Below are 12,387 nucleotides of genomic sequence, written 5' to 3' on the forward strand. Positions count from 1 at the left end.
CGTGCCCAGACCATTTTAGCCTTTTTCTTACCAGAACCACACTCAGCTTGGGGCTTAAGATGGATAGGCTAAGAGGGGAACTAAGCTTGTAACTGTTGCGGAGACAGGCACTCCAGGTGACAGTTCACAGGCCCTTTCAAGTGACTGGAGCCATGGGATCATTTCTCTCCAAGGATTTGTGAGTAGAAGTGATGTGTGTCATCTCCCAGGTGAACAGGTTCGGCCTTCCCTACATGCTCCAAGGGTACAGTGAAGAGCAGAGCTACAACAGAGATGGGGCCTGGATCCCTGAATCACTGTATGGAGCAGAGTGCAAACCAATATATAAGCAACAGCAACACCAACACAGGACAATCGACTGTTAGTAAATAATTTTTTTTTCTTTTTTTCTTTTTTTTCTGAGATGGAGTCTTGCACTGTCACCTAGGCTAGGGTGCAGTGGCACAATCTTGGCTTACTGCAACCTCCGCCTCCCAGGTTCAAGCAATTCTCCTGCCTCAGCCTCCTGAGTAGCTGGGATTACAGGCACGCATCACCACAGCTGGCTAATTTTTTGTATTTTTAGTAGAGACAGGGTTTCACCATGTTGGCCAGGCTGGTCTCAAACTCCATGATCTGCCTGCCTCAGCCTCACAAAGTGTTGGGATTACAGGTGTGAGCCACCACGCCCGGCCCATGAATAAGTACTTACTAAGTCTCTGTGATTTGGGGGTCATTACAACAGACTGCCTGCTCAAACACAGTGACAGAAAAAGAGGCACCAGTTTCTGTATCTACAGGGAGCAGTTAAGTTTATGCGCAGGGAGCAGTTAAGTTTATGCGCAGGCAATGGGAATGATACTGTAATCTTGAGAATAAATGCAATCAATGAAAAGATCACCTTATGTAGCCCAAGGAGTTTAGTCTCCTTTGCTCAGACAGACAGATCTTTATTAGTGTTTTCAACTTATTTTGCTCACAACTTCCCAGCAAGAAATGTCTTACATTGCAACCAGTTCTCACATTTAGATGTATGGGTGAAAAGTTTCACAAAACAGTATTTGCCTTTACTACATGATGCATTCTGGCCTACTTTATTCTGCTTCATTGCTGTGTAATGCTGGTGACCACTTGCTAATTGATTTCCCATTTTACTAAATGGGCTGGGACCCACGGTCTGAAAACCCTGCCTTAGGCTGCAAGCATTTCTGTGATCTCTGCGAGCTACTCCATATAGGTAAACACACGCGAGGTAAACTAGGAAACAGCTTCTGCTTTTGCAGATTAGAAGTGAAGTTGACATCACGCCAAGTACGAAAAGGCTAAACAGCTGACAAAATTTCCACTTGAGCAACCCTGGGGAGCGCAAACAGGAGGAATCGGGGCAAGGGTGACTTGAAGAAAGCACTGGCAGATCACGCACTTTAAGGCAACTCTACACTGCACAATGTCAAATAACCTAGCATGGGGCGGCACTAAATGGCTGCAGGAAAGCCGAGTCTTCTTCCACATCCGGCGGCTCCCCTCGGATGCGAGCGCTGGCCCAGGGTGTGTTTACAGAGGTGAGGGCTTCCCGTGGACCCTTCTCGTTGGGAGCGCTTAGCCTCAGGAGCGGATTCAGGGCACAGGCAGAGGACGTCCACAAACACCACAGGAAGCCGCCACCCAGGGGCGTGGAAAGGCCCAATGCCTCGTCTGGGATTCACGGCCGGCAAAGCGGCCCCTCCGGAACGGGACAGCACAGCGGCTCACCTCTGCGCCTCTGGGGGTGCGGGGGGAGCCTCGCCCTCCACGCTCTCTGGGGGACCGCCCGCCCTAGCCCCCGCCTGGGCTTCGCGGGTGGACGGTTGGGGGCCCCGGGCGCCCCCCAGCGCGTAGCTTTTCTCCTTCTCGTGGGTCTTCTGGTGCTCGGCTAGGGCCAGGCTGAAGTGGAAGGTCTTCCAGCAGCCCTGACAGGCGTAGCGCTTCCGGCCGCCATGGCTGCTGTGGTGCTCCATCAGGTGCGAGAGCCACGCGAAGGCCTCCCCGCACTCGCCGCAGGCATAGGGCTTCCCGCGGGACAAGCCCGGCTCGTCAGCCCCAGGGCCCTGCCCGGCCTCCAGCCCTGCGCTGTCGCCGGAGCTAGAGACGCCCTCGAGGCTCTGCCCGTCCCCATCCTCGGGGTGCGGCCTCTTGGTTCCCAGTTTCGCCGTGCCCCTGTCCGGGGCAGGCTGCTGGATGACGGACTGCCTCTGCGATCCGGTGGCAGAGTCGGACTCCGCGTCCTGGGGGTCCTGCGGGTCCGGGGCCTTCCCAGGCTGCTCTTCCTCCTCCTCAGTGGTGCCCGACGGGGGATCGGCAAGGGCGTCCCCAGGGGGCGCCTCCGTAGGCAGCTCAGGCAGCACCCCCGCGGGGGCGGCCTCCTCGCAGGCGCACCCAGCGCTCTCCTGCCGCCTCCCGCCTTCTGGAACAAGGTCAGAGCCCTAGCGTGAGCGCCCCGCCCAGGGCCAGGGAGAGGAGGACCCAGCCGAGCCTCAGCTGCCGGAACAGCGCACAGGGCTCCGGGCTCTGGATCCCCGCGGGGCTCACGGCTGTTTGGAAGCAGCGCTGTCCCTCCCAGGCAGCCCTGCAGCGCATGCCCCGCGCCTGCTGCTGCAGATGTGGGACCTGGAGGCCTCCAACAACGGAGGCCACCGACAGGACAGGAAGGACAGCCCCACTGAGCCCGGGTTCTGGAAACCGCGCCTTTGGAGGTCTCCACCTGGCCACTAGCTTGGCCACAAGATGCACGATGCAAGGAGAGCCTGCTCAGAGCGCACCCTCCTGGAGGGAGGGGCCCGGCTGCCAGCGAAGAGAGTGGGGTCAATAGCTAAGGCCAAACCCCCCAGCGACAAGCCCCCTGGCGACAGGCACCCAGGGCCCTCCAGCCCAAGTCCGCCTCTAGGTGTTCTTGTTGGTGTGCTGGCACAGAGCCTCCAATGGGGCAGAACGGCCACCCCCGGGACCAGTCATACACAGATCCTGGCAACTAACACCACTGCCGTTTCCACCGACCAAGTCTTGGGGTGGTCTGTCATGCAGCAAGAGACCATGGACGTAACTGGATTCCTGCCTCACTCAGACACGGTGGTGGGAGAATGGTGAAGCAGTCAATGCTGAGGTCTTTGCTGGGGCTGATGGCGCTGGGAGGGGCCCCCTCAGCCTCTGAAGAAAAAGCAAACCCCACCCGGCCCTAACACCAATTCAACCCAACCTCACCTGGGAGGCTGCTTCCTTGTGGATCTCTTTCCACCAACCGGAGTTCCTCAGTGTCCAGCCTGGAGGCAGCGTCAGGCTGGGAAAGCTGATACCCTGAGTGGGGTTAAAAACCAAAGAAATAAAAGGCATCAACACAGAGTGGCTGATGGGTGTTGTGTGTCGTGGGCCAGCCAGGGCAGGCTGCAGCCCACCTCCTCTTCTCTGTACTGGGACCCCCACCAAGGCCACCTCCCTGTTAGGCCCCTGGACAGTGGAGCAAAGAAGAAGGCGAGGCTGGAAGGGCAACGGGGCAGGCGGAGGCAGGACTCAGAGAAAGCAAAGCTAAAGAAAGACATTGACAAAAATTGCTCAGGAGTCTGAGTCGGGGGGCCTCCCTAAAAGGAGGGTTTCTGGGGCAAGAACGTCTACAAAAGAGGAGACCCTTGATCAGGCCATGCAGGTGAGGCCCTGTATCTGGCAAGGAGGGTGGCAATGTGGGCGCCTTGGGGCCAGGAGGCCTTTCCAAATTCCGAGGCTTCAGTCCTACAGGCAGGGCCTGGGCAGAACTCAGATGTTTAGATCAGAAAGGGTGGGGGCTTCAGCGAATAAATTCAAGCTCCAACACGTGCAAGTTCAAATCCTGTAAGACATCACAGTGTCCCAGCCAAAGTCCCTGGGGTCACAGTCTCCTGCACCAACCCCTGCGGAAGGGGATGGGGAGTGGGGCGTGACCCCGAGGCAGGCGACTCTCACCCCACAGGAGCAGCTTCCGGTAGCTCTTCAGGTTCTCCTCGGCAGGGTCCAGGTGGCCCCACTCCCCCAGGTGCTGAGGGTCCTCTGGAAAGGACTTCAGCTTCTGAAACATTAGTCGTGGCTGAGACCTCCCACCTGCCCTAGAGAAGGGAGGACCCGCCGCAGCCCCACAGCCACAGGAGCAGGCTAGGAGCCAGCCCTGGCCAGGGACTCTAACCCAGGTGCACTGCAGGAGGCAGCCCCCTTCGCACCACAAAGATTCCGCCCTCACGCTCCCACCAGGGTGGGTTCTGGGCCTCAGCGCTGTGGACGTTTGGGGCCACAGCCCTCTGCTGAGCACTGGTGATGGGGAGGGGGATGCCTCTAAGCTGAGGCCAAGGCCCCTCACCCACCTGCTCGTGCCCACCCACCTGCTCGGTGTTGGCAGGGCCGTCCTCTTCGGTCTTTGCTTCTCTGACCCTCCTCTGTTCCAGAAACAGGGGGTCCGGAGAAAGCCAGGCTGGGGAGAAGGAGAGGCAGAGCTGAGGCAATGAGCTCCCTGTGGCCAGGTGCCCTCAAGGGTCAAGGAGCCCCCGCTGCCTCCCACACAGGCCCCAGTGTGCTTCTGTGACAGCAGCACCCAAGGCTCAACGGACACTACACCTTTCCCTGATTTACAAAGCAGCGCGGTGGCCACAGGGCTTGGGTGGCCCCAGAGATGCCCATTCAAGTCCACTGGATTCATGGAAATCTTTTTTTTTTTTGGTTTGTTTGTTTTTTAAAGACAGGGTCTTGCTCTGTCACCTAGGCTGGAGTGCAGTGGCATGATCTTGGCTCACTGCAACCTCCACCTCCTGGACTCAAGCAATCCTCCCACCTCAGCCTCCCAAGTAGCTGGGACTAAAAGTGCGGACCCGGCTAATTTTTGTATTTTTTGTAGAGATGGGGTCTCCCTATGTTGCCCAGGCTGGTCTCGAATGCCCGGGCTCAAGTGATCTGCCCGCCTTGGCTTCCCAAAGTGCTGCGATTACAGGCATGAGGCACTGTGCCTGGCCTTCGTGGAAATCCTAAAAAGCAACACCACATAGTGCTGGGCTGTATCCAGGCCAGTGGGCACCTTCCGTGCTGGTAATGAACAGCCACAAAACTTCTGGAAAACCACATGGAAGTTTCTATTTTATGTGAAATGTCGAACTCACACACCACTTGCCCAGTGGTCCTGAGGAGTCCACCCACAGTGCCCAGAGCCTCACATATGGGCACACAAGTCAGGAGGTGTCAGGGCAGCTTCACTCCAAGGGGCAGAGAGCCCACCTCTAGGATGGGGATGGGCTGAGCACGCGATGCTGGGCAACTAAAGAACCAGACCCAACCACAGCCTGGGGGACCCACCCCTCGAACAGCAAGCACTCAGACACAGCACACCACACACACAGAGCCCGACCCCAGGCCCTGATTATGCATGTGTGATGTGCAGGGAGACATGAGGGGACGTGCATCAGGACACTTGAGACCCTTTATTTTCAGAGGGTTCATGGTCGGGGGTTGGGAGATTCTTTTCTTTATGTATTGATGTTTCTTCACTATTTGTGGTAAGTATGGATGATCTGCATAATCTCTGAAGACTAATTTAATAAACAATGTCTAACATTCAGAGAAACTACAGGAGGAAGTCCCAATGATAGCATGGACCATGGAGCCCCTGACTCCCTGGCTGCCCTTCTGCCCTCTCCCAACCACAGGCCTCTGCCCAACACCCCACCTAAGGCCCAGCAGAGGCTGCCAGGCTAGCTGGGCACTCACGTGTCTCAGAAGGTGCCGGGATCTCCCCAGCTCCAAGGGCCTGGCTGGGGCTCGCGAGCTCGCCTGGTAGCAGCAGAGGGTCCATGTGCCTCTCGTACACTCCATCGCTAAGAATTGAGGATGAGCCCGCAGGGGAGCCCAGCAGCATCCCTGTCAACAGTGGAGGGACCTGTGACCCCAAGAGGTCAGGACACGTGCCAACAACAATCACACAGTTAAACCACAGGGACCTGCAGGCTCCAGGGCCACATCACTACCCATCCTGCACCTCATCTTGGACCAGGAGACCTCCAGCCTGCAAAGTACCCAGAATATTTACTGTTAAGAGGCTGGGGGCCGGGCGCGGTGGCTCACGCCTGTAATCCCAGCACTTTGGGAGGCCGAGGCGGGCGGATCACGAGGTCAGGAGATCGAGGCCATCCCGGCTAAAACGGTGAAACCCCGTCTCTACTAAAAATACAAAAAATTAGCCGGGCGTAGTGGCGGGCGCCTGTAGTCCCAGCTACTTGGGAGGCTGAGGCAGGAGAATGGCGTGAACCCGGGAGGCGGAGCTTGCAGTGAGCCGAGATCCCGCCACTGCACTCCAGCCTGGGCGACAGAGCGAGACTCCGTCTCAAAAAAAAAAAAAAAAAAAAAAAAAAAAAAAAAAAAGAGGCTGGGCTGGGTGTGGTGGCTCACAACTGTAATCCCAGCACTTTGGGAGACCAAGGCGGGCAGATCACGAGGTCAGGAGATTGATACCATCCTGGCCAACATGGTGAAACCCTGTCTTTACTAAAAATACAAACATTAGCTGGGCATCGTGGCAGGCGCCTGTAATCCCAGCTACTTGGGAGGCTGAGGCAGGAGAATTGCTTGAACCCAGGAGGTGGAGGTTGCAGTGAGCTGAGATTGCGCCACTGCGCTCCAGCCTAGTGACAGACTGAGACTCCGTCTCAAAAATAAATAAATAAATAAATAAGTAAATAAAAGAGGCTGGTCCCTTTCCCTCATTCCTCTGGCTTCCTTACATCTAGAAGGCAGGAGCCCAGGCATCTGTCCTGGCCCGAGGACCAAGGAGCTGCCTCAGCAGTGTGGGGAACTTAACTATCTCAGGCAAGCCATGGCTGGCACTGGGGCCTTCCAGGATCCCCTCCCCATCTCCTCTGAGCCATGCTTCTCCTCTGTGACAGCCCACCTGGCTCTTCCAGGACATCAGCGAGGCCCTCCACCAGGGAGGCTGCCTTCTTGCAGCTCTCAGGGTACTGTGCCACCACCCAGGGCCGGACCTTATCAGGCAGGATGCCCAGGAACTGCTCCAGCACCAGCAGCTCCAGCATCTGCTCCTTGGAGCGCGCCTCAGGCATCAGCCACTGGCGGCACAGCTCATGCAGCCGGGCCAGGGTCTGGTGGGGCCCGGCAGCCTCCTGGTAGACAAATTCCCGGAAACGCAGGCGGGAGAACTCCAGGTCAGCAGGGGTCCTCTCAGGGATGGTCTCGGGTTCTTCCTGCTGGACTCCGGCTGCTGACCCCGGCGTGGGCAGATCCGGCGGGGCTGGGGAGCTCCTGGGGGAGGCAAACGCCTTCTCCAAAGGCAACATCTTTCCAAAACGGCACTGGAAAATGTGACTGTCTAGCCAGGGACAAGGTGGCTCCAAAGGAGAGGTGCCAGGGATGACCAGATGCCCAGTGGGCTCAGGTGGTGCCAGAACCCACAGACCTGCAGAGGACACGGACAAGGCAATGGCCTTGCATAAGGCCAGGGCGCAGCCACCCCAGCTGCCAGAGAACAAAGACACCACACCCAGAGTTCACACAGATTTCCAAGAAACCCGCTTGTTAGGCATCAGTAGAACCTCAGTGTTGTACTCATGTAGATAAAAAGTAGCATGTAAATGGAGGGTAACTCATTCTGTGCATTACCAGAATTTTTTTTTCTTTGAGACCGAGTCACCCTCTGTCACCCAAGCTGGAGTGCAGTGGCGCAATCTCGGCTCAATGCAACCTCTACCTCCCGGGTTCAAGCGAGTCTCCTGCCTCAGTCTCTCCAGTAGCTGGAATTACAAGCATGCACCACCACACCCAGCTACTTTTTGTATTTTTAGTGGAGATGGGGTTTCACCATGTTGGCCAGGCTGGTCTCAAACTCCTGACCTCAAATGGTCCACCCGCCTCAGCCTCCCAAAGTGCTGGGATTACAGGTGTGAGCCACTGCGCCCAGCATCATTACCAGAATTTTAAAAAATCAGTCATGAATAGGATGAAAATGAAAAATTACTTGACAATCTCTATGTAAACCTGGATGTAAAAACCTTGAAATAGGCCAGGCGCGGTGGCTCACGCCCATAATCCCAGCACTTTGGAAGGCTGAGATGGGTGGATAACCTGAGGTCAGGAGTTTGAGACCAGCCTGACCAACCTGGTGAAACCCCGTCTCTACTAAAAATACAAAACTAGCTGGGTGTGGTGGTGGGTGCCTGTATTCCCAGCTACTTGGGAGGCTGAGACAGGAGGACTGCTTGAACCCTGAGGCAGAGGTTGCAGTAAGCCGAGACTGCGTCACTGCACTCCAGCCTGGGCAACGGTGAGACTCTGTCTCAAAAAAAAAAAAAAAAAAGATAGATTATAGGGATGTCAATTTCTAATAACATGAAGGAGCTAGGTGTCAAGACTGTTCCTCCAGTTAAAACCACCACAAATCTGAAATAAAATTATTTAGAAAAAAGCGTAGGGAGCGGGGGGCTCCCTCTGGAGGCCACTGAACAACCACCCACCTCCCCGTTTCTGGAAATGGTGCAGGATGTAGGCTTTGACCAAAGCATCCACAGAACCAGGCGGGAGGGGCAGGAAGTACCCAGGAGCAAGGACAATGGGGGGTGGGGGGTGGGGGAGACCACAATGACTGAGAGAGTTCAGGTCCTGCCAACCTGTGCCCCACCCTCAGCTGAATCCCCACATACAGGGCAGCCCTATCATTAAGTGAAGCCAGTATTCAGGATGAACTCTCTTGATTGTAACTGTGCACCAACAATGAGCTCACTAAACAGAACCCAGCGGGTCACAGCTGTCCAGGCCTCCAGTCGGCCTCGGGCTCTCATGTCACTGGCTATGGACACACAAGGGTGTGAACTGCAGCTGTCCACCTTCTCCCAGGAACCGCCTGGGTCTGAAGGTCCACAGAGACAGCTGGAAGGGGATTTCCCACAGCCGCAGCAAGCCCAGTTTTATAGGGAAAACCATAGAGTAAACCACACCAGGCCAGGTGCTGTGAGCCCTTCTCAGGTCGTCAAGTTCTGCTCTGACAGTGCTCCACCAGAATATGGGGCGCAAAGACCTCACCGCTGTGGGGTGGGGTGTGGTGTGTGATTCCACAGAAATGAAACATCTAGAACAGGCAAATCTATGGAGACAAAATGTAGATCAGCTGTTGCCAGGGGCTGGGGTTTGGGGGAATGAGGAGGGACTGCTAATGGGTACAGGATTTCTTCTTTGGTTGGTGAAAATGCTCAACGGTGAGTACTGCATATTAAAAACCAATGAACTGTCCACTTTAAATAGGTAAACCTCACAGTATGTAAATTACACTCAATAAGCTGTTTAAAAAACAAAACAAAACAAAAAAACAGGGCTGGGCACAGTGGCTGACGCCTGTAATCCCGGCACTTTGGGAGGCCGAGGCAGGCAGATCACCTGAGGTCAGGAGTTCGAGACCAGCCTGGTCAACATGGTGAAACTCCCTCTCTACTAAAAATACAAAAATTAGCTGGGTGTGGTGGTGGGTACCTGTAATTCCAGCTACTCAGGAGGCCTGAGGCAGGAGGATCGCTTGAACCTGGGAGGTGGAGGCTGTAGTGAGCTGAGATCATGCCACTGCACTCCAGCCTGGGTGACAGAGCGAGACTCTGTCTCAAAAAAAAAAAAAAAAAAAAGAACCAGAAGTTTGCAGAGAGTCAACTATCAACCTCTCTCTCTGTGGCTACCAGAGTTTAAAGGGAAGTGCGGAACTCTTAAGTGCTGTTGGAAGACATTCTACACAAGCTTCCACTTACCTCAAGCAGAACAGAGCCATGCCGTGCCATCATCACCACCACCACGATACCTCTACTTTTTTTTTTTTTTTTTTTAAACACAGGGTCTTACTCTGTCACCCAGGCTGGAGTGCAGTAGCATGATCATAGCTTATTGCAGCCTCAACCTCCTGAGCTCAAGTGATCCTCCCACCCCAACCTCCTGAGTAGCTAGGACTAAAGGTGCACATCACCCACACCTGGCTAATTTTTAATTTGTTTTGTAGAGACAGGGATCTCACTATGTTGCCCAGGCTGGTCTGTAACTTCTGGACTCAAGGGATACGCCTGCCTGGGCCTCCCAAAGTGCTGGGATTACAGGCGTGAGCCACTGCACCCACCCCCACCCTTTTGTTACCTCATAGGCCTGAGCTCTCAACTGGCCCCTCCGGGAGACTTTTCCTCTGCACTCCTTGCACGCACCCACCTGACACCCGCTCACTGCCCCCGCCTTTTACCTCCCTACTGACCGCCTCCCCCACTGGAATGCATACCCAGGAGAGTAAGGGTTCTTCACAGGCAGGTCCCTTGGCCTGGGCAGAGCTGGCTCAGTGTGTGTGGACTGTGCAAACAGTGCAGTTCTGCTGAGGGGTATGCTGGCTGTGCCTCATTTGTTTTTGGCAGTTGTGGACCCTCATGTCCATCTCTGTGGGGTCCTTTCTGATCTATTTAAAGGACATATGGAGAAGCAGGATAGCTAGGGCACAGGGGACAACCTCACGACCGTCACCTACTTATGGCAGCCCCCACCGGGGTGCCCTCTCTCCTCACACACTCCACCTGCTGCCAGAGGACCCTCAGACCCAAGCATCTGCCTGCTCTGTGACTGAGCGCTTTCTCATGATTTAATCTCTGAGGGCGGGTAAACTGCCCACTTTCCCGTGACTTTTTCTTTACAGCTCTTTCTGTCAACCAGTTAACGAGTTCCCTGTCTGGCTCTATCTTGCTACTGTCCCCATCTGTGGCTTGTCTTTTCACTCCACGCTGTCTTTTGGTCACAGGTAATGTCCTAATGTTTCTTACTATCTAATGCAATCACTTTTTTTTTTGGAGACGGAGTCTCGCCCTGTCACCCACGCTGGAGTGCTGTGGCACAATGTCAGCTCACCACAACCTCCACCTCCTGGGTTCAAGCAGTTCTCCTCCCTCAGCCTCCCGAGTCACTGGGGTTAGAGGCACTTGCCCCATGCCTAGCTAATTTTTGTATTTTTAGTACAGACGGGGTTTCACCATGTTGGCCAGGCTGGTCTCGAACTGCTGACCTCAAGTGATCCACCCGCCTCGGCCTCCCAAAGTGCCAGGATTACAAGAGTGAGCCACTGCAGCCAGCCTTCAACCATTTTTTAAATTGGACTTCGGAGTTCAGAAACCCACTTAAAAAGGGTTTCTTTCCCTTGGGATTAGAAATACATCCTCTCCTTTAGGAGGCCAAGGCAGGCAGATCACGAGGTCAGGAGATCGAGACCATCCTGGCTAACACCGTGAAACCCCATCTCTACTAAAAATACAAAAAAAAAAATAATAATAATTAGCCAGGCATGGTGGCAGGCGCCCGTAGTCCCAGCTACTCAGGAGGCCGAGGCAGGAGAATGGTGTGAACCCGGCAGGCGGAGCTTGCAGTGAGCCGAGATCGCGCCACTGCACTCCAGCCTGAGCGACAGAGTGAGACTCTGTCTCAAAAAAAAAAAAAAGAAATACATCCTCTTATTCATCCTCCAGGAACAGAGAATAGCAGATATAAAGGGCCAGACAGTCTCAGTTTCAACTACTCAACTCTGCCTCGTGGCAAGTAAGCAACCAGAGCCCTGTGCGTACCCACAGGTTTGGCATGTTCTTATGCATCTTCATTTACAAAAACAGGTGGCCAGGTGTGGTGGCTCACACCTGTAATCCCAGCACTTTGGGAGGCCACGGTAGGTGGACAGCTTGAGCCCAGGAGCTCAAGAACAGCCTGGGCAACATACCAAAACTTCATCTCTACAAAAAATAGAAAAATTAGCTAGGCACAGTGGTGCATGCCTGTGGTCCCAGCTACTCTGGAGACTGAGGTTGGAGGATCACCTGAACCCAGGAGGTCAAGGCTTCAGTGAGCTGTGATCACAACACCACATTGCAGCCTGGGTAACAGAGTGAGACCCTGTCGCAAAAAAAAAAAAAAAAAAAAAAAAAAAAAATTAGCCAGGCGTGGTGGCACACACCTGTGGTCCCAGCTACATGGGAGGCTAATGTGGGAGGACCCCTTAATCCCAGGAGTTGGAGGCTGCAGTGAGCTATGTTTGTGCCACTGTACTCCAGCATAAGCGACACAGCAAGATCCTGTCTCTAATGAATACAAACAAAACAGGTCACTGCTGGCCTGCAGGTGGGTACGCTAACCCCTGTTCTGGAGCCTCTCCTGATGGGAGGCGTGACGCCAGCTCTACCCCCTGGCAATGGAGGCACAGAGCTCTACTTGGTGCATGGACAGAGGTGTGGTCCTGCAGGCATGTAATTTTGGCTTTCTTAGGACGCCAGAGGCTTGTTCACCTTGCAGAGAACCTGTCTCCACAAAACAAACTGTGAGCTCCATAATGTGTGTGCACAGAACCTTCCCTCATCAGAACCTCACAAT

The 12,387-nt window shown here is 54.8% G+C and overlaps 1 protein-coding gene across 10 annotated transcripts in view; it reads right to left on the reverse strand.

Moving 5' to 3' along the window:
* Positions 1 to 884: 884 nt before the first annotated feature.
* Positions 885 to 12,387, reverse strand: part of ZSCAN18 (zinc finger and SCAN domain containing 18) — a 34,585-nt gene continuing 23,082 nt past the window's right edge. For 2 of the 10 annotated variants that reach the window (XM_011527239.4, XM_011527238.2), the window contains exons 2-8: positions 10,271 to 10,441; positions 6,908 to 7,429; positions 5,731 to 5,880; positions 4,359 to 4,447; positions 3,949 to 4,051; positions 3,217 to 3,309; positions 885 to 2,422 (exon numbers count right to left, since the gene is read on the reverse strand). In XM_011527239.4, the coding sequence (XP_011525541.1) occupies positions 1,728 to 2,422; positions 3,217 to 3,309; positions 3,949 to 4,051; positions 4,359 to 4,447; positions 5,731 to 5,880; positions 6,908 to 7,310 (1,533 nt within the window). In that variant the 5' untranslated portion in view covers positions 7,311 to 7,429; positions 10,271 to 10,441 and the 3' untranslated portion in view covers positions 885 to 1,727. Of the gene's footprint in view, positions 2,423 to 3,216; positions 3,310 to 3,948; positions 4,052 to 4,358; positions 4,448 to 5,730; positions 5,881 to 6,907; positions 7,430 to 9,758; positions 9,828 to 10,270; positions 10,442 to 12,387 lie in introns of those variants that run through there. The other 8 variants (NM_001145542.1, XM_006723335.3, XM_011527237.3 and 5 more) reach the window with 5 other exon arrangements.

The sequence above is a fragment of the Homo sapiens genome, chromosome 19 (assembly GCF_000001405.40).
Source record: "Homo sapiens chromosome 19, GRCh38.p14 Primary Assembly".
NCBI classification, from domain to species: domain Eukaryota; kingdom Metazoa; phylum Chordata; class Mammalia; order Primates; family Hominidae; genus Homo; species Homo sapiens.